Genomic DNA, 22,709 nt, shown 5'->3' on the forward strand with positions numbered 1-22,709 from the left:
TTTTAAATTTTATTTATGTATTCATTTACTTATTTATGTTTTGGAGACAGGCCCTCACTCTGTTGTGCAGGCTGGAGTACAGTGGCACAAACATGAGTCACTGCAGCCTTGACATCCTGGGCTCAAATGATTCTCACACTTCAGCCGCCCAAGTAGCTGGAACTACAGGCACACGGCAATGCGCCAGGCTAATTTTTTTCTTTTTAGAGATGGGGTCTCACTATGTTGCCCAGGCTGGTCTTGATTTCCTGGCCTCAAACAGTCCTCCCACTTCAGTTGTCTTTTATTTTTTTAACAGTGCCTTTTAAGCAGAGAAGTTCTTAACTTTGACATAGTCAAATTTTTCCTTTACAGAGGGTGTTTTTGGTATTTGGTTTTTGGCCCTGTGTACTTTCTTTTTATTCTTGCAAGCATAGCAATTTATAGTTTAAAATATTTTGTACATTTTATCCGGCATTTCTGAATATTTGTAGTGAAGGTGTTCTGCATTATTTCTGCCTGTTATTCTGTAGTAACTAATAAGTGTATGTTTGAAATTTTTATCAGTTTGTAATATATAGGAATATCAACCTTCCCATTCTTTTTTTTTTTTTTTTTTTACCCATTGGAGTCTTTATAAAATCTATAGTTTACCATTTGTATTTTTGCAAGCAAACAGTTATATGATTTTTATAATGTCTCCGTAGGTAATTCAAAGATAATCAAGATCAATTAATAAAAAATTCAAGGGGTAATTCATGGGTTAACTAATCACTAATGTAATTTAATGCTTTAATTAACAATACTATTGCAATTAGAATTTAAATGAATTGAATTGATTTGCAGTAGCTATCCAGAAACTTAAAAGATATTTGTTATTTTAATGGTCACTTTCTCTTTGCACATTTAATATCTGACTCCTTTTTTTACTCTTTTATTTTTAGATCACAAAATTTGTCCAGGATAGACATAGAGCTAGAAGAAACAGACTTCGTAAAGATCAACTTAAGAAACTTCCTGTACATAAATTCAAGAAAGGTAAGTATTTGTTTTCTAAATAATTATCCTTAGTTTATTTAAGACTGCAGGGTGACTATACTCTTTAAAAAAATTTTTATTATTATTATTATACTTTAAGTTCTAGGGTACATGTGCACAACGTGCAGGTTTGTTACATAGGTATACATGTGCCATGTTGGTTTGCTGCACCCATCAACTCGTCATTTACATTAGGTATTTCTCCTAATGCTATCCCTCCCCCAGCCCTCCACCCCCCAACAGGCCCTGTTGTGTGATGTTCCCCTCCCTGTGTCCATGTGTTCTCATTGTTCACCTTCCACTTATGAGTGAGAACACGCAGTGTTTGGTTTTCTGTCCTTGTGATATTTTGCTGAGAATGATGGTTTCTAGCTTCATCCATGTCCCTGCAAAGGACACGACCTCATCTGTTTTTCTGGCTGCATAGTATTCCATGGTGTATATGTGCCACATTTTCTTTATCCAGTCTATTATTGATGGACATTTGGGTTGGTTCCAAGTCTTTGCTATTGTGAATAGTGCCACAATACACATGTGTGCATGTGTCTTTATAGTAGCATGATTTATAATCATTTGGGTATATACCCTGTAATGGGATTGCTGGATCAAATGGTATTTCTAGTTCTAGATCCCTGAGGAATCGCCACACTGTCTTCCACAATGGTTGAACTAATTTACATACCCACCAACAGTGTAAAAGTGTTCCTATTTCTCCACATCCTCTCCAGCATCTGTTGTTTCCTGACTTGTTTTTTTTTTCTTTTGAGACGGAGTCTCACTCTGTCACCCAGGCTGGAGTGCAGTGGTGCGATCTTGGCTCACTGCAGCCTCCGCCCCCCAGGTTCAAGAGATTCTCCTGCCTCAGCCTTCCGAGTAGCTGGGATTACAGATGCCTGCCACTGCACCCAGCTAATTTTTGTATTCTTAGTAGAGACGGGGTTTCACCATCTTGGCCAGGCTGGTCTTGGACTCCTGACCTTGTGATCCATCCACCTCGGCCTCCCAGAGTGCTGGGACTACAGGTGTGAGCCACTGTGCCTGGCCTGTTTCCTGACTTTTTAAGACTATACTCTTATACTACCTTCTGTGTCCCTACCATAAACTATGCCTAACGCTAAGTAGACTTTCAGTTAAGAATGAATGAATAAATAAATGAATGAATGAATGTGAGAGATGATGTTTTGCTGTGATCTGGTGAAAGCAGGAGAAGGATGCACAGTCTGCAGAGAATTTAAAAACAATAATTAAACTAACCAAAATGCTTGTAAATATTATCACCATGTGCCATTAGTTCTAAACAATGTCAGTAGATAAAATATTTTTCTGTACCAGGTGAACTACTCTCACTTACCTTCCTCCTATTCTGTCTCCCACAATATAACACTGTATAGTGTTGTATTAACTAAACACATAGGTAGGTAGCTGTTATATATCATCACTTATATATATCATCTTAATTTTCATACTTCTATGAACTGTATACTCTTATTATTTTCCCTTTATAGATGAGGAAAAATCGGGTCAGGGACATTAGGAATTTTAATATCACATAGCCAGTATTGACAGAACTAGAGGAGAGGTGTGACTATAATACCATAGCCAATGTAAGTTTCCCCTATAGTATAGTTTCTCTGTGATTTAGTGACCTTTTAGTGCAGATACCTACTTGATAAATCCTTTTGGCTGGCACTTCCCAGACTTCATTTTCATATACCAGTAAAAATATTCTGTTTTTTAATTCAGCAGTGAAAAAGTGTAGGGAGTGGAGGGAGAAAATAGAGAAAAAGGCAATAAAACATAGTTCTGCCACATTTTTATTTTTCAAATAATAAAATGTTTTATAAACCTGCCATTTACCATTAACATTAAAAAATAGAACACTTAACAAAAAAAAGTAGGAAAAAGAACATCATGTTAAAATAAAGAAATGAATAGACATTTCTAAAAATGCACTGCATTTTACATTTACATTATTATTATACAGTGATTTACATTATCATTATACAGTGTGGATTAGTTAATAGTTTTTTTTTGTTTTGTTTTTAAGAGATGGGGTCTCACTGTGTTGCTCAGGCTGAACTTGAACTCCTGAGCTCAAGTGATCATCCCACCTCAGCTTCTCATGTAGCTAAGACTATAGGCATGTGCCACTGGGCCCAGCCTGGATTAAAGATTTCCACATAGACCAGAACTAGTTTGAAGATTAGGAATTACTTTTTTAGGCTTCATTTTGTGTGTTTAAAAATATGTTTAAAATGGCCAGGCACGGTGGCTCACACCTGTAATCCCAGCACTTAGGGAGGCCAAGGCAGACAGATCACTAGGTCAGGAGATCGAGACCATCCTGGCCAACATGGTGAAACCCCGTCTCTACTAAAATACAAAAAAATTAGCCGGGTGTGGTGGTGCGTGCCTGTAGTACCAGCTACTCAGGAGGCTGAGGCAGGGGAATCACTTGAACCCGGGAGGCAGAGGTTGCAGTGAGCCGAGATCACACGACTGCAATCCAGCCTGGTGGCAGAGCAAGACTCCATCTCAAAAAAAAAAAAAAAAAAAGAAAAGTTTAAAAAATGGTGATACTGTCCTGGGTTTAAAGGGAAAACATGTCATTGGCTTTTCCTCTGAGTAAGATGGGTAGCTGTAGTAGGATTTGGAACAGAGGAGAGAGAGAATGTCTCAGTTAACTGTTAAAAGGATCCTTCTGCTGACATTAAGAATAGGTTATTAGATGGCAAAGGGTATAAACAGAGAGAACAGACAGGAAAGTTATTGTAGTAATTCAGGTGTGATATAAATGTGGCTTGGGGTGATATCAGTGGAGGAGAAGAAATCTTTAAATACTGGCTGTATCTGGAGATGGAATACACAGAATTTACTGATGGACTAGATATTGGAAGAGGAGACAAGGATGACTCCAGATTTTTTGGTCTGAACAACAAAATGGATGGTCTATTTAAGGACAGTCCTTAAATAGCAATAAGGATGGTTAATGTATGAGAGAGCAGGTTTTAGGAGGGAAATTGGAAGATTGGTATTGAACATATGGAATTTCAGATGTCTATTAGATGTTAGAAGTTTAAGAGAGAGGTCTGAACTGGAAATACCAGCATGAAAATGTATTTATATCATTAGACTGGATGAGATTACCAAGAGAGTGCGTACAGAGAGAGAGAATACCAAAGACACCGTGGGGCATTCCATCATTCAGTAGAAGAGGAATCAGAAGTGGCAGCAGTGGAGACTGAGAAGGTGTGACCAATTACATAGGAAGAAAATCAGGAGAGTGTGATTTACCAGAAACCCAGTGATGCAAATCTATCAGGGAGCAAGGAATGATAACCTGTGTCAGTGCTGCTGAACATAAGTAAGATGAGAGCTCAGTATTGACCACTAGAGACTATTGATGATCTTGATGAGCAGTTGACAGAGTGGTCAGGCCAAAAATCTGATTGTAGTTGATTTAAGAGAGAATGGTGGAAAGAGAGGAATTAGAGATAGTTTTTGTAAGAAGTTTAACTAAAAAAGGGAGCAAAGAAATGGGGTCATAGCTGCTGGGGGAAGTTGAGTCAAGAAATAACAGCATGTTTGTTTGCTAAAGGAAATTGATGTAGGTGACAGATGGGAGAGTCCCTGTAATGTTCTTGAGAAGGCAAGAGGAGATTGGATATCTTGCACAAAAAGGTGAACTGGCCTTAGGTAGTATCATAGAGACTTGAGCTAAGGGAAAGTAGAATATGTGGGTGAAAAATCACAGTAGGTGGGTATTTGTAGTGGTGAGTCTGTGGAAATGTTCTTTGCTTTAATTTCTCTCAGGTAGGAAATCACCAACTGAGGGTGAGGACAGAGGAGGAGGTATTGGAGCTTTTAAGAACAGAGGTATAAAATACTATTATTCCAGGAGAGTAGGAGGAGGAATGGACTAGGGAAATATAATATGGTTGCTTGGCAGCCTGAACCCATTTTGAACCCATCAGCATAACTGTTTTTCTCTATGGAGTGGTGTTTATCATCACTTTTTTCAAAATGTGAAGTATAACATTTATACAGAAGAGTATGTAGAATACATATTTCTAGAATCATCCAGTTCAAGAGATAGAACATTACTGCCACCCCAGGAGCTGTTATGTTCCCTTCTAGATAAATAATCCTTTCTTGTCCTCTGGAGGTAATCACTATCCTGGTTTATGATAATTTCACTGCCTTTCTCAAGTTGTACCACATACGAATGCATACCTAAACAGTTGGCTTAATTTTGCCTATTTTTGAATTGTATTTTTCTTACCTCTGATTAATTTTTTAATGAAATTTATACACTTAGTTGCATTTAGGTATAGTTCATTTACTTTCATTCTGTCTTTTAAAGATTTTACTTACCCACTTTACTGTTAATTGACATTCTTTTTTTTTCAGTTTAGGGCTATTATAAATCATACTTTTGAGAATATACTTGTACATATATCCTGGTGCATATGTCCATGAATTTCTTTAGCATATATACCTAGAAGTAGATTAATTTGATCATAGTATATAGCTATTTTCAATTTTATTGGGTAATGCAAAATCATTTCCAAAGTGATTGATGGTACCAATTTCTACTCTCACCAACAGTCTATAGGAGTTCCTGTTGTTCTATGTATTTATCCAATACTTTGTACTGATGGACTTTTAAATTTTAGCATTCTGGTGGGTTTATAACTCGTTGTTTTACTTTTTATTTCCCTTCTTGCAATGAGGTTAAATATCTGTTCACATTATTTGCCAGTTGGATTTTCACTTTCACGAAGTACCTTTCATGATATATGCCCGTGTGTCTGTTTCATATATGGGAGGAATTCTTTATATGTTCCTACAAGCCTCCAGAGGGAGGCGTAGAGTATGGCAATTTAGTTCTTCAATAATTCTTGTGTTTTAACTGTCTTTTTCTAGTTTATGGACCAGAATTCTTGCCTTTCATGGTAGTATTCTTCTATTTTTGTTTTGTTTTGTCTTGATTTGTTTTTTTGAGGCGGAGTCTCGCTCTGTCCCCTAGGCTGGAGTGGAGTGGTGTGATCTCAGCTCACTGCAAGCTCCGCCTCCCGAGTTCACACTATTCTCTTGCCTCATCCTGCCGAGTAGCTGGGACTACAGGCGCCCGCCACCATGCCTGGCTCCTTTTTGTATTTTTAGTAGAGATGGGGTTTCACCATGTTAGCCAGGATGATCTCGATCTCCTGACCTCATGATCTGCCCACCTTGGCCTCCCAAAGTGCTGGGATTACAGGCGTGAGCCACCATGCCCAGCCTCTTCTGTGTTTTTAGAGTACGTTTTCTATCCCAAGATCATACAGATGTTATTTTATATTACCTTCTGAAAGCTTTATATTTTTGTCTTTTGTGTTTAATCCACATGAATTGATTGTGTAAAACTGGAGTCCAATTTAAGTTTTTTTTCCAGTTTGATATTTTATATAAGGGTATCCAGTTGTTCCAGAGCTAATTATTGAAAATACACTGTTCTGCAGTGTCACCTCTGATGTAAATTAAGGTCCAGATATGTGTGGGTTTGTTTCTGGATTTCTCTTGGTTTTATTGTTTAACCGTTTATCAGTATCACACTGTTTCAATTACAGTAGGTTCATGGTAAGACCTGATAGAGCTAGTCTTCCCACTTTGTTTTTTTTCAATAGTGTTTACCTATGTTTAACACTTTGCCTTTCCACTTAAAGGTAAAAATCGAATTGTCAAGGCCACCCCACCTCCAAATATATGCACAAGTGATTGTATTTTTTATTGTAGCAGAATACACACAGCATAAAATTTACCATTTTAATCATTTTAAAGTATCTTCATATTGTTATGCAACCATCACCACCATCCATCTCCAGACTTCTTTATCTTCCCAAACTGAAACTCTGTACCTGTTAAACAGTAACTCCCCATTTCCACTTCCCCCCAGCCACTGGCATCCACCATTCTACTTACTGTCTCTGAATTTGACTACTGTAGGTACCTCACGTAAGTGGAATTACCTGATATTTGTCCTGTTTCTGACTTATTTCACTTCCCATAATGTTTTCAAGGATTATCGATGTTGTAGCATATATCAGAATGTCTTTACTTTCTCTGGCGGAATAATAGTCTGTTGTGTATTTTTACCACATTTTGTTTATTCATTCATCTATTAGCGGATACGAGTTGGTTACACCTTTTGGCTATTGTAAATAATACTGCAATGAACATTGATAAAAAAGTATCTGTTTAAGTCCATGGATTCAATTATTTTGGGTATATACCAAGGAGTGATATTGTTTAACTTTATGAGGAACCTGGATACTGTCTTCCACAGTTACTGTACCATTTTACATTCCCAGCAGCAATGCTCAAGGGTTCATATTTCTCCACATCCTTGTCAACACTTGTATTCTGTTGTTTTGTTTTAATATAGCTATCCTAATGGGTAGGAAGTGGTACCTTAATGTGGTTTTATTTGCATTTCCCTACTGACTAATGATGTTGAGCATCTTTTCTTGTGCTTATTGTCCACTTGGATATTTCCTTTGGCAAATTATCTGTTCAAGTACTTTTCTTATTTTCAATTGGGTGGTTTATCATTTTGTTCTTGAGTTATAGGAGTTCTTTGTATATTCTAGATAACATGATTTGCAAATATTTTTTCCCATTCTGTCAGTTGTCACTTTCTTGATAATGTCCTTTTATGTACAGAAGTTTCAAATTTTGATGTAGTCCAATTTACCTTTTTTCTTTTTTTGCTTATGATATGAAGCATAAGCAAAAACCTTTTTTTTTTTTTTTTTTTGCTTGTGAAGGAAATTAAAGAAGACCTCAATAAATGGAAAAGCATCCCACATTCATGGATTGAAAGACTTAATATTGTTAAGATATCAAGACTACCCAAAGCAGTCTACAAATTCAGCACAATTCCTATCAAAATTCCAAGAACTTTTTTTGCAGAAATGAAAAATTTAAAAATTTTGATTAAGTCCAGTTTTTACCTTATGTCATATCTAAGAATACACTGTCAAATCTAAGGTCATAAAGATTTACCCTATGTTTTCTTCAAAGTTTTATGGTTTTAGCTTATATTTAGGTCTTTTATCAATTTAGAGTTGATTTTCATATATAGTAAATATGAGGTAGGGCTCCCGGCTTATTTTTTTGTATGTGGAAATCCAGTTATCTCAGCACCATTTGTTGAAGAGACTGTTTTCTCATTGAATATCTTGGCACTCTCATCAAAAATAAGTTGGCCATAGATGTATGGTTTTATTTATGGACTCTCAGGTACATTCCTTTGGTCTATATGATTATCCTTATGCCAGTCCCACACTATTTTGATTACTCTAGTTTTGTAGTAAATTTTGAAACTGAGAATTGTGAGTCTTCCACATTTGTTGTTGTTCTTCAGTATTTTAGCTATTCAGGGTCCTTTGCAATTCCATAATAACTTGAGAATAATTTGAGGATAGAACTTTATATTTTTGCAAAAAAAGTTATAGAATTTTGATAGGGATTGTGCTAAATTTGTAGGTTGCTTTGGGTAGTCTTGACATCTTAACAATATTAAGTCTTCCAATCCATGAATATGGGATGCTTTTCCATTTATTGAGGTCTTCTTTAATTTCCTTCAGCAATGCCATGTAATTTTCAGTCTATAAGTCTTTCATCTCCTTAGATTTATTTCTAGGCATTTTATTGTTTTAGATACTATTATAAATAGAATTCCTTTCTAAATTTCTTTTATGGATTGTTCATTGCTGGTGTGGAGAAACACAACTGATTTTTATGCATTGATCTTATAACCTACAACTTTGATGGATTTGTATATAGCTCTGGTAGCTTTCTTGTGGATTCTTGGGGATTTCCTATATAGCAGATTGTATTAGCCTGTTCTCACACTACTATAAGAAATACCCAAGACTGGGTAATTTATAAAGGAAAGGTTTTAATTGACTCACAGTTCCACATTGCTGGAGAAGCCTCAGGAAACTTCTAATCATGGTGGAAGGCAAAGGAGAAGCAGACATCTTCATAGGGCATCAGGACAGAGTGAGTGCAAGCAGGGGAGATGCCAGATGCTTATAAAACCATCAGATCTCGTGAGACTCACTATCATGACAATAGCGTGGGGGAAACTGCCCCCATGATCCAATTACCTCCACCTGGTCCTGCCCCTGACACGTGGGGATTATGTGTATTATAATTCAAGATGAGATTTTGGGTGGAGACACAGCCAAACCATATCACAGATCATGTCATCTGTGAATAGGTGTAGTTTTACTTCTTTCTTTCCAACATGGATTTATTTCATTTTCTTGTGTAATTGCTTATAGAACTTACAGTACAATATTGAATAATAGTGGTGAAAGTGGCCATTCTACTTTCTTTCTGATTTTAAGGCAAAAATTTGCAGTACTTCACCAGTGAGTATTTTAGTTGTGAGTTGTTGTTGTTGTTTTTAATAAATGCCCTTTATCAAGTTGATGAAGTCCCCTACTATATAGGTTCATTTTTTTGGCATGTTGAAATCTACTTGTTCCAGCATTATTTGTTGAAAAGACTGTCCTTTCTCCCTTGAATCACCTTTGCTCCACTGTTAGAGAGCAGTTGACTATATTTGTGTGAGTCTTTTTCTGGAATCTCTATTCTGTCCCATTTATCTATTCTTTCACCAGTACCACACCGCCTTGATTACTGTACTTTTGTTTTGTTTTGTCTTGAAATGGAGTCTTGCTCTGTTGCCCAGGCTGGAGTGCAGTGGTGCAATCTCGGCTCACTGCAACCTCCGCCTCCCAGGTTCAAGCAATTCTTCTGCCTCAGCCTCCCATGTAGCTGGGAGCACAGGCATGTGCCACCATGCCTGTCTAATTTTTTTTGTATTTTTAGTAGAGACAGGGTTTCACTATGTTGGCTAGGCTGGTCTTGAACTCCTGACCTCAAGTGATCTGCCTGCCTCGGCCTCCCAAAGTGCTGGGATTACAGGCGTGAGCCACTGCACCAGCTGATTACTTTATAGTAAGTCTTAACATTGGGTAGTGTCAGTTCATTGACTTTGTTACTTCAGTATGGTGTTGGCTGTTTTGGTGTTTTGCCATTCCGTATATACTTGTGAACTAGTTTGTTGGTATCCAAAAAAAGAAATTGCTGAGATTTTGATTGGGATTGCATTGAATTTATAAATCAAGTTGGGCATCCCACTTGGTCATGGTGTATAATTTTTTATATACGGATATTCAATTTTCTAATATTTTGTTTAGGATTTATCATCTATGTTCATGGTAGTTACTAGTCAGTAGTTTTCCTTTCTTGTGATGTCTTTGCCTAGTTGTGAGATTTGGATAATAACTGGCTTCACAGAATGAGTTATGATATACCCTCTGCTGTTTTCTGGAAGAAATTGTAAAGAATTTGGGTAATTTCTTTCCTGAGTGTTTGGTAGAATTCACCAGTGAACCTATCTGGATATGGTGCCTGCTGTTTTGGAAGGTTATTATTTATCGGTTCAGGTTCTTTAATAGACCTAGGCCTATTCAGATTGTACGTTTCTTTTTGTGTGGCTTTCGGCAGATTGTGCCTTTCTGAGTAATTGGTACATTTCATCTGTTACCAGATTTGTAGGCATAGAATTGTTTAGTATTCCTTTATTATTGTTTTTATATTCATAGGATTAATAGTGATGACCACTTTTCTAAAATTTTTGATATTAATAATTTGTGTCTTTTGTCTCTTTTTCTTGGTTCACCTAGCTAGATATCGATTTCATTTATCTTTTCAAAGAACAATATTTTGGTTTTGTTGATTTTCTGGTGTTTTTTTGGTTGTGTGTGTGTTTTTGTTTTTTTGGTTTTTTTTCTGGGGGGACAAGGTCTCACTCTGTCATCCAGGCTGGAGTGCAGTGGCACAACCATGGCTGACTGCAGCCTCGACTTCCCAGGCTCAACCAACCCTTCCACCTCAGCCTTCCAAGTAACTGGAACTACAGGTGTGCACCACTGTGGCCGGCTAATTTTTTTATTTTTATTTTTTTAGAGACAGGGTCTCACTATGTTGCCAGGTCTGAACTGCTGGCCTCAAGTGATCCTCCCACTTTGGCCTCCCAAAGTGCTGGGATTACAGGCATGAGCCACCACACCCAGCCTGATTTTCTGCTTTTACTTGCATTGATTTGTTCAATTTTTATTTCTTTTTTTCTGCTACTTTGAATTTAATTTGCTCTGTTTCTAGTTTCCTAAAGGTAAAGCTTAGATTATTGATTTTAGCTCTTTTTTCTTTTCTAACATATATATATTCAGTGCTATAAATTTCCCTGTACTGCTTTCATTGCATTTTACAATTTTTTATTGATATATAATAGTTGTACATATTTATGGGGTACATGTTATATTTTGATACATGCATACAATATGTAAGGATCAAATCAGGATAATTGGGATATTTATCACCCCAAGCAATGATCATTTTTGTGTGTGTGTTGGGAATAATTCAAAGCTTCTCATCTAGCTATTTGAAATACATAACTTTATTGTTAACTATAGTTGCCTTACCATACTATCAAAAACTAGAACTTATTCCTTCTAACTGTTTTTGTAGCCAGTAGCCAGCCTCCCTTCACTGCTCCCTTCCACCCTTCCCAGCATCTGGTAACCACCAGTTTGCTCTCTACCTCCATGAGATCAGTTTTCTTAGTTCCCACATACGAGTGAGAACATGGGATATTTGTCTTTCTGGGTTTGGCTTATGTCACTTAGTATCATGTCCTCTAGTTCCATCCATGTTGCTGCAAATAACAGGGTTTTTTTTTATGGCTGAATAGTATTCCATTGTGTATATATGCCACATTTTCTTTATCCAGTCATCCATTGATAGACACTTAGGTTGATTCCATATCTTGGCTATTGTGAATAGTGCTGCAGTAAACATGGGAGTGCAGATATCTCTTCAATATACTGATTTTCCTTTCTTTTGGACACATATCCAGCAATGGGATTGCTGGATCATATGGTGGTTTCATTTTTACTTTTTTGAGGAACCTCAATACTGTTTTCCTTAGTAGCCATACTAATTTATATTCCCACCAGCAGTGTACGAGTGGTCCCCTTTCTCCCGCCACATCACATGTTCCTCTTGCGTAGTACAATACAATCATCTCTTCCCAGTAGTATCCAAAGTCTTAACTCATTCCACCATCAACTCAAAAATCCAAAGTCTAAAGTCTTATCTGAGACTCAAGACACATTTCTTTCCACCTATTAGCCCGTAAAATCAAAAACAAATTCTTAACTTCCAAGATACAACAGTGGTGCAGGTATTAGGTAAACATTCCCAATCCAAAAGGGAGGAATTGGCCAAAAGAAAGGGAAATAGGCCCCACACAAGTCTGAAACCTAGCAGGGCAGACATTAAAGTTTAAAGCTCCAACATAATCTTTGACTCTGTGTCCCGCATCCAAGGCACACTGGTGCAAGGGGTGGGCTCCCAATGCCTTGGGAAGCTCCATCCCTGTGGCTCTCACAGGTTGGAGTCTGGTGTCTGTGCCTTTTCAATGCTGAGGGTGCAAGCTGCTGGTGGCTCTACCCTTCTTGGGTCTGGAGGATAGCAGTCCTGTTCCCATAGCTTCACTAGACTGCCCTGGTAGGGAGTCTGTGTTGGGGATCCAACCTTACATTTCCCCTCAATACTGCACTAGCAGAGTTTCTGTGTGGGGGCTATGTCCTGGGACAGACTTCTGCCTGGGACCCAGGCTTTCTAATACATCCTCTGAAATCTAGGTTGGAACCTGGCAAGCCTTCTTTCCTTTTGAATGCTGCACACCTACAGCCTTAATACCACATGGAAACCAGCAAGGATTACAGCTTGTGCTCTCAGAGCAGTGCCCCAAACTGTACCAGGGGCCCTTTTGAGCTGAGGCTGGAGCAGCCAGGATGCAGGGAGCAGCCTCTTAAGATGGTGCAGGGCAGAGGCTCCGCAGGCCTGACCCACTAAACCATTCTTTCCTCCTAGGCCTCTGGGCTTGTGATGGGAGGAGCTGCCTTTTGAGGCTTTTTTTTTTTTTTAAATTGTCTTGGATATTAGCACTTGGCTCTTTTTTAGTAATGCTAATCTATCTAGCAAGTGGTTGGTTCACAGCCCACTTGTATTCTTTTGAATGCTGCACACTTACAGCCTTAATACCACATGGAAGCCACCAAGGATTACAGCTTGCGCTCTCCAGAGTAGCTATTGTAAATGAGATTACTTTCTTATTTTTCAGATTGTTTGCTGTTGGCATATACAAATGATACTGATTTTTGTATGTTGATTTTATATCCTGCAACTGTACTGAATTTGCTATATTAGTTCTAACAGTTTCTTTTCTTTCTTCTTTTTTTTTTTTTTTTGAGATGGAGTCTAGCTTTGTCACCCAGGCTAGAGTGCAGTGGTGTGATCTCGGCTCACTGTAACCTCTGCCTGCCAGGTTCAAGCAATTCTCCTGCCTCAGCCTCCCAAGTAGCTGGGACTATAGGTACCCACGACCACGCCTGGCTAATTTTTGTATTCTTAGTAGAGACGGGGTTTCACCATGTTGGACAGGCTGGTCTCGAACTCCTGACCTCAAGTGATCCACCCGCCTCAGCCTCCCAAAGTGTTAGGATTACAGGTGTGAGCCACCATGCTCAGCCTCTAACAGTTTCTTGATGGAGTTTTCTTTGGTTTTTAAAATATACAATCATGTCATCTGTGAACAAGGTTAATTTGACTTCTTCCTTTCCAGTTTGGTAGTTTTCAGCAGTGAAGCCATCCAGTCCTGGGCTTTTCTTTGATGGGAGACTTTTAATTACTGTTTCAGTTTCATTACTTGCTATTGGTCTGTTCAGGCTTTTTCTTTCTTTATGGTTCAGTCTTGACAGGTGTACATGTCTATGAATTTGCCCATTTTTTCTAGGTTATCTAATTTGTTGGCATATAATTATTCATAAAATCTCTGATGATCATTATATTCTAGGGTATTGATTGTAATTTTTTTCATTTATACTTTGAGTGTTTTCTCTTTTTTTGTTAGTCTAGCAAAAGGTATGTGGACTTTATCTTTTCAAAAAACAATTTTTTTCTTTCAGTTATCTTTTGTATTTTTCAGTCTGAATTTTATTTCTGCTCTGATCTGTATTATTTCTTTCTACTAATTTTAGATTTTGTTTATTCTTGTTTTTCTAGTTCCTTGAGGTGGATTGTTCAGTTGTTTATATGAAGTTTTTCTCCTTTTTGATGGAGGATTATTGCTATGAACTTCCTACTTAGTATTGCTTTTGCTTGTCCCATAGATTTTGATATGCTGTGTTTCCATTTTCATTTGCTCAAAAAAATTTTTAGATTTCCTTTTTAATTTCTTTATTGACCCATTTTTTATTTAGGAGCATGTTGTTTAATTTTCACATATTTATAGTTTTCAAAGTTCCTTTTTTTTTTTTCCTGAGGCAGTGTCTCACTCTTTGGCTCAAGGCTGGAGTGCAGTTGCACAATCTCAGCTCAGTGCAGTATCCACCTCCCAAGTAGCTGAGAGTACAGGCATGCACTACTACACCCAGCTAATTTTTTTGTAGAGATGAGGTTTTACCATGTTGCCCAAGGCTGGTCTCAAACTCCTAGACTCAAGTGATCTGCCTGCCTCAGCCTCCCAGATTGCTGGGATTACAGGCATGAGCCACCACACCTGGCCCAAAGTTCCCCTTTAAAAAAGAATAAAAATCTAGTTTTATTCTGCTGTGGTCAGAAAAGATACTTGATACAATTTTGACTTTTTTGAGTTTGCTGAGACTTGTTTTTTCTCCTAACGTGATCTGTCCTGGGGAATGTTCCATGTGCTGATGAGAAGAATGTATATTCCACAGAGCTGGATGAAGTGTTCTGTAAATGTCAGTTATCATTATATAGTGATTTTTTGGGTCTCTTTTTAAGTGTTTGTTGTTTATTTTATCTGATATAAATATAGCTATTCTTGCTCTTTTTTGTTTTCCAATTGCATGGAATATCTTTTTCCACCCCTTTACTTTCAGTCTATGTGTCTTTATAGGTAAAGTGAGTTTCTTATCGGCAGCAGATCATTGGGTTCTGTTTTTCTATTCATTTAATCACTCTATGTCTTTTAATTAGAACATTTAGTTCATTTACATTGTTATTATTGATAGGTAAGAACTTCCTCCTGTCATTTTGTTGTTTGTTTTCTGGTTGTTTTGTAACTCCTTTTTTACTTTCTTTTCTTTCTTTCTCTTTCACCTTTCTTTATGATTGTGCAAATTTCTCTGGTAGTATGTTTTAATTCCTTGCTGTTTATTTTTAGTGTTACCTATTATAGGTGTTTTGCTTTGTGGTTACTATGAGGCTTACAAAAAACATCTTATAAGTTATTCTGAATATATGAGAACTCAATGTTGATCACAAAGAAAACGACAAAAAACTTTACATCGTAATTTCATCCCCCACACACATTTTGACCTCTTGTTGACACAATTTACATCTTTTTATATTGCCTGACTTTTAACAGATTGTTGTAGTTTTTACTTTGGTAGATTTAGTCTTCATACTAGAGATACCACAGTTACAGTATTAGAGTATTCTAAATTTGTCTGTATATTTTTACCAATAACTTTTATAACTTCAGATATTTTCTTGTTGCATGTTAGTGTCCTTTTGTTCCAGATTGAAGAACTACCTTTGACATTTTTTATAAGATGAATTCCTTCAGCTTTCGTTTGTCTTCAGAAGTCATTATCTCTCATTTATGGTTGAAGGATAGCTTTGCTGGGGACACTGTTCTCAGTTGGCAGTTTTTTTTTTTCCTTTAGCTTTTTAATATGTCATCCCACTCCATTCAGGCATGTATGGTTTCTACTAGATGTCCATTAACAGATGAATTAGAGCTCTTTATATGTTATGCTTCTTTTTTTTCTGCTTTTATGCTCCTCTTTTTGTTTTTGACCTTTGAGAATTTGATTATTGTATGCCTTGGGATAGTCTTACTGGAGTTTAATCTGTTTGGTAATCTTTGACCTTCCTATGCCTGGATATTTATCTTTCTATAGATCTGGAAAGTTTTCTGTTATTATTTCTTTGAATAAGCTCTGTACCCCTTGCTCTTTCTTAACTATGTCTTGAAGGCCAATGACTCTTAAATTTGCTCTTTTTAGGCTATTTTCTAGATCTTATATGTGTTCTTCCTTTTTACTCTCCTATGTCTCCTCTCTTTATATATTTTCAAATTGTCTTTGAGCTCACTGATTCTTTCTTCTGCTTGATTAGTTCTGTCAAAACCCTCTCATGCATTTTCAGTTCAGCCAATGTATTTCACAGTTCCAAGATTTCTATTTTTTTAATTTTTTAATCTGTTTGTTAAATTTTTCTGGTAAGTTTCTAAAGTGTTTTACTCTGCTATCTTGGAGTTCCCCAGGTTTCTCCAAAATTGCTATTTTGAATTCTTGATCAGAGAACTTACACATCTTCATCTCAGGTTGGTAGGGTGTCACTGGCTCCTTGCTTTGTAAATTTGGGAAGGTCGTGGTTCCCTGTTTGATGTTGTTTCTTACAGATGTACATTTATGTCTTCATATTGATTTGTTATTTATTCTAGTTTTTGCTATCTGCCTTTGCTTGGTCTTTCAGGTGTCGTTTGTTGCATTCTCTTAGACTTAGATCACTGCCTTCTTTTCAGCACTAGATGGCACCCTAAGCCCAGGTTTGCCTGGCTTTCACAAACGTTCGGCGCACTGACCATCTTGGGTTAGGGGATGTTCCAAAGGGGATTCCCTGGCTGGGGTTGGTGGGGAAGGGAATTAGCTAGGAGTTTGTGCGCAGAGGACCCGTGGAATGTGCCTCCTACTGCTGCTGATCCACTGTCCCTCTGATTTGGCATCTCCTTTGGCTGAGATGAAGAGCAGCCCCAAGTTTCCTTTGCTGGAGTTGCTAGCCCTACTTCCACGTTTGTCCATAGCTGTCTTCAGATTTTCTCCCAACAGGCACTAGCAATGCTTCCTGTGGGTTGAGGCAGGAACAGCTTTCCTGCATAGTAACCCTAGACGGTAGGGAAACTGGCTGTCTACCTTAGTCTCAGTTTCTCCAGGATAGGAACCGTAAGTCTTGGGAGACTTTTTTATCCAGTGCCTAATAACTTAAGGGAGGGGCATCATGGATAGAGAAGTCGAGGGGCATCATGGATAGAAAAGTCCATTCTCTCTTAATTTTTCACTTTTTTGTGACACCAAGGATTGTCACAGCCTCAGTTTTGAGTTCTGGAATATTGATGGTGATAATGTTGTCACTGTATAGTTGTTTTTCATTTTCTGTACGGGAAAATCAACTCAGATTGCTTCTACTCTGCCATTTTGGTAACATCACTGCATTTTACAAATTTTGATATGTTGTATTTTTATTTTCACTTAGCTCAAAATATTTTAAAATTTCTCTTGAGATTTCTTCTTTGACCTGCTTGTTACTCAGAAGTGTGTTTTTTAATCTTCACATGTTTGGGAATTTGCCAGCTATCTGTATTTATATATTATTATATATTTCTAGTTTAACTCCATTGTGCTCTGCATGGTAATATTGTAAGACTTATTTTTAAAAAATAAAGTATACTTTATGTCCCAGAATGTGGTCTCTCCGTGGATGAATGTTCCATGTGAGCTGGAAAGGAATGTATATTCTATTTCTTGTTGGATGATGAAGTAGTGTGTATATCAATTAAATCCAGTTGACTGGTGCTGCTGTTGAGTTCAACTGTGTCCTTACTGATTTTCTGCCTGCTGGATCTGTACATTTCAGATAGAGGGGTGTTGATGTCTCCAACTATAATAGCAGATTCATCTGTTTCTCCTTGCAGTTCTATCAATTTTTGCCTTATATATTTTGGCACTCTGTTATTAGGTACATACACATTAAATATTGTTATATATATAGTTATGTATATATATAATTTTTTAAAATTTTTTATTTATTTATTTTGAGACAGAGTCTCGCTCTGTTGCCCAGGCTGGAGTGCAGTGGTGCGATCTCAGCTCACTGCAGCCTCTGCCTCCCAGGTTCAAGCAATTCTCCTCCTTCAGCCTCCCAAGTAGCTGGGACTATAGGTGCAGACCACCATGCCCGGCTAATTTTTGTATTTTTTAGTAGAGATGGGGTTTCACTATGTTGGGCCAGGCTGGTCTCGAACTCCTGACCTCAAGTGATCCACCAGCTCCAAAAGTCCTGGAATTACAGGTATGAGCCACCGTGCCTGGCCATATTGTTATTATTATTTTTTTTTTTTTTGGAGAATTGATCCCTTTATTATTATGTAATGCCTCTCTATCTGTGATGATTTTTCTTGCACTGATGTCTGCTCTGTCTGAAAATATGCTTACTCTCACATTTTTTGGATTAGGGTTAGCATGATATTTTTGTCAATCTCTTTACTTTTAATCTATGTGTCTTAATTTTTTTTTACTTTATTAAAATACTGAGTTTTATTTCACATGTATATTTTTGCCTCCCCACCATTTCCATGTCTGACCACCACTACTACTATGTCCTATCATAACATTCCATACATACTTAAAACCAAGCAAAGGGTGGAGTTCCATCTTTAAAAACTAAACAGGCATTTTGGGCAACACATTCTTGGCAATAGAGCCTGGACAACATTTATCAAACACAGTAGGGAAAGTTCTCACTGCATTATAAAAAGGACAGCCAGATATCAACTGTTACAGAAATGAAATAAAATGGAAAATTTTTAACAAATTGTTTAAACTATTTTCCTAAAGAGACTTCCTCCACTGCCAGAGATTTTGAATAACCTCCTGGTCAGTCATCCGGAAGCACTCCTCACATAATTGATGAACTGCTTGCATTTTAATGTCTTCTACAGAACTAGGTCCTTTTCGTGTTTTAGGAGTTTTTTCCTGTTTTTTGAAAGATTCTTGTCCTTTTGATCTTGGTGTTGATGGTTTTCAGTCTTTTCCATTCTGATTTGACTTCTGTGCATTTTTGGCTGGAGTATCTCGTATGGATTTCCTCACTGGTGCTTTTTATCCAGTTTCCTCATCATCAAAATCATCATCATCGTCATTTTCATCATCATCTTCTGCATCAGCAGCAAGTTTTACTTTTTTCTGTGGAACTTTTCTGCCACCTCCGGGGGCAGATCGCTTTCCAGATAAACTTGAGTTTCACATACTCCTCTTCTTCATCTTCTGACTCTGCATCTTCCTCCACAGCTACTAAGTGCTGTCCACTAATATGCACTGGCTCTGAAGCACACTTCAACCGTAAGATCACCAGTGGTGTTATTTCAAGGCCCCCAGAAACCATTGGCTGTACAGACATTTTCAAAGTTGCCAGTGTTACTTTAATCGGACTGCCTTCATAATTCATTGCCTCTGTTTCAACAATATGCAATTTATCCTTTGCTCCAGTCCCTGAAATCACCGTTCTTAAAGATAACTGGTGCTCATTTTCATCATTATTCACCTTAAAGTGATAATCTTTGTCGGCCTTTTGTTGACAACTGAAAAGATAGTTCTGGGGCCTCAGAGGGCTCATGTCCATGTCCATCAAATCTTCCATGGGGTGGTGACACGCACTTAGGTGGGAGAGAAGGTGGACAGAGATAAACGACTGCTGCTCCAGAGAACAGCCGCGCAGGATGGAATCACACCAGGGTATGTGTCTTCATATTTAAAGTGGGTTTCTTTTCAACAAAATATAGCTGGTCTTATTTTTTTTATCTGATCCACTCTGACAATCTTTTGATTAGCATATTTAGGACATAGATATTTAAAGTGATTATGAATGTAGTTGGGTTAATATCTATTATATTTATCATTGTTCTGTATTTGTTGCCCCTGTTTCTGTTTTTCTCTTTCAATCTTTTTTCATCATTTGTGGTTTTAATTAAGTATTTCATAATGATTCCACTTTCCTTTCTTAGCATATTAATGTTATTTATATGTGTGTATGTATTTTCTTTTTTAGTGGTTGCCCTAGAGTTTGCATTGTACATTTACAACTAATCCAATTTGACTTTCAAATAACACTATACTTCTTTGTGGGTAGTGCAAGTTCCCAATAATAACAAAATATTCCTAATTTCTACCCTCCATCCCTTATATCATTGCTGTTATTCATTTCACTTATATATGTTATACATTCATAGCATACATAATTGAATATATTATTGCTGTTACTATTTTGAACAAACTGCTATTTGTTTGTTCACAAGTAAAATCAAGTAAGAATAAGAAAAGTAGAAGTTTTTATTTTACTTTTACTTATTTCTCCTCCAGGATGTTTACTTTCTTTATGTAGATCTAAGATTCTGACCTATATCATTTTTCTTCTCTTTAAAGAACTTATTTTAACATTTCTCACAAGTCAGTTCTGTGGGCAAAAATTACCTCAAATTGTGTTTATGAAAGTTTTTATTTTTTCTTCACCTTTTTTTGCTTGCATTTTTTATTGTAGAAAAACACATAACAATAAATTTACAATCTTAACCATTTTTAAGTGTACAGTTCAATAGTGTTAAGTATATTTACATTATTGTGCAACCAATCTCTAGAATTTTTTTCATCTTATAACACTAAGACTCTGTACCCACTAAATACTAATAATTCCCTCTTTCTCTTCTCTCCAGCCCTTGCTAACCACATTTCTGCTGTTTCTTTTCTACAATTTGACTACTTTAGATACTTCATATGAGTGGACTGATACAGTATTTGTCCTTTTGCAACTGGCATATTTTGCTTAGCATAATGCCCTCACGGTTCACCTATGTTGTGGCATGTGACAGAATATTCTTTTATTTTTAAAGATTTCATAATACTACATTTTATGTATATACCATTTTCCTTTTCCATTCGTTGTCAATAGACATTTGGATTGTTTCCACTCTACCCCTTGTCTATTATAAATAATGCTTCCATGAACATGGGTGAAAATTTATCTTTAAGATCCTGCTTTGAATTCTTTCTGGATATATATCCAGAAGTGGGATTGCTGAATCATATTCTAATTGTCTTTTTAATTTTAGGAGTATCTCCTTACTGCTTGCTCTCTGTACTACCTGCACCATTTTACATTCCCATCACCAGTGCACAAGGGCTCTCCACATGCTCAACTTACATTCTGCTCTTTTGTTAGTGGCCATTCTAGTGAGTATGAGTCGATATCTCATTGTTTTGATTTGCATTTCCCTGATGATTAGTGATGATGAGCATCTTTTCAAGTATTTATTGGCTATTCGTATATCTTCTTTGGAGAATTTTCTATCCAAGTCATTTTCTCATTTTTAAATTAGGTTTTTTTTTTTTTTTTTTTTTACTGTTGAGTTGTAGAAGTTCCTTATATAGTCTGGATATTAACCCCAAATCAGATACATGTGTTGCAGTTATTTTTGCCCAGTCCATAAGCTGCCCCTTCACTCTGTCGATCATGTCTGTTTATGCACAAAAGTTTCTCGTAGTCCCATTTGTCTATTTTTTTCTTTTGTTGCCTGTGCTTATGGTGTCACTTCCAAGACATAATTCTCAAATCCAATATCCTGAAGTTTTTCCCCTATATTTTTTTCTAGGAGTTTAATAGTTTTAGGCCTTACATTTAGGTCTTTAATCCCTTTTGAGTTAATTTTATGTAAGGTGTAAGTTAAGGTCCAGCTTAATATTTATTTATTTATTTATTTATTTATTTAGGCATGTGGATATCCCAGTTTTCCCAGTACCATTTGTTAAGGAGACTGTCCTTTATTCACTGTGTCATCTTGGCATCCTTGTCAAAAGTCATTTGGCCATATATACAAGGGTTTATTCCTAGGCTCTAAATTCTGTTCCATTGGTGTATATATATCTGTCTTTATTCTAGTACCATACCATCTTAATTACTGTTGCTGTGTAGAATGTTTTGAAATCAGGGAGTATGAGTCTTCCAATTTTGTTCTTTTCAAGATTGTTTTGGCTATTCATAGTCCCTTGAGAATTTTACGATGCTTTTTTCTGTTTCTGCAAAAAATGTCATTGGTATTTTGATAAGAATTACATTGAATCTGTAGATCACTGTGGGTAGCATGGACAGTTTGACAATGTTAAGTCTTTCAATCTATGAGCCTGGAATATCTTTCCATTTATTTCTATCTTCTTTGATTTCTTGTGGCAGTGTTTAGTTTGTAGTGTAGAAACCTTTTAATAAGCTCAAGCTTATTCCAAAGTATTTATCCTTTTTGTTGCTATAGTAAATGGAATTGTTTTCTTAATTTCCTGTTTTGTTTTGTTTTTTTTACAGGTTCTTTGGTTGAAGGATAATTTCCTTTGTGAATTGATTGTTAGTGTATAGAAATGCAATTTTTGAATTTTGATTTTGCATCCTGTAACTTTGCTGAATTTGCTAATTTTAACAGTTTGTATGGAATATGTCTTCTGTGAAGGGAATTAATTTTACTGATTTTCCAATCTGTATGTTTTCTATTTCATTTTCTTGTCTAATTGCTCTGGATAGACCTCCTAGTACTGTGTTGAATAGTAGTGGTGAGTGTGGGCATCCTTGCCTTATTCCTGCTCTTAGAGGGAAAGTTTCAGTCTTCTTTTGTTGACTATGATGTTAAATGTAGCCATCTCATATATGACTTTTATTATGCTGGGATAGTTTTTTTCTATTCCTAGTTTATTGAGTATTTGTGTCATGAGATTGTTGAATTT

The 22,709-nt window shown here is 36.7% G+C and overlaps 1 protein-coding gene and 1 pseudogene across 17 annotated transcripts in view; one reads left to right on the plus strand and one right to left on the minus strand.

Moving 5' to 3' along the window:
* Window positions 1-22,709, plus strand: part of RNF13 (ring finger protein 13) — a 149,452-nt gene that overhangs the window by 107,523 nt on the left and 19,220 nt on the right. For all 17 annotated transcript variants that reach the window (NR_165474.1, XM_047447380.1, XM_011512373.3 and 14 more), the window contains one exon: window positions 924-1,017. Coding sequence is in view for 16 of the 17 variants with exons in the window: in XM_047447380.1 (XP_047303336.1) it covers window positions 924-1,017 (94 nt within the window). In the remaining variant the exon portion in view is untranslated. The remainder of the gene's footprint in view (window positions 1-923; window positions 1,018-22,709) is intronic.
* On the minus strand, window positions 18,483-19,603 carry NPM1P29 (nucleophosmin 1 pseudogene 29; annotated as a pseudogene).

This window comes from Homo sapiens, chromosome 3, assembly GCF_000001405.40.
Source record: "Homo sapiens chromosome 3, GRCh38.p14 Primary Assembly".
NCBI lineage: Eukaryota > Metazoa > Chordata > Mammalia > Primates > Hominidae > Homo > Homo sapiens.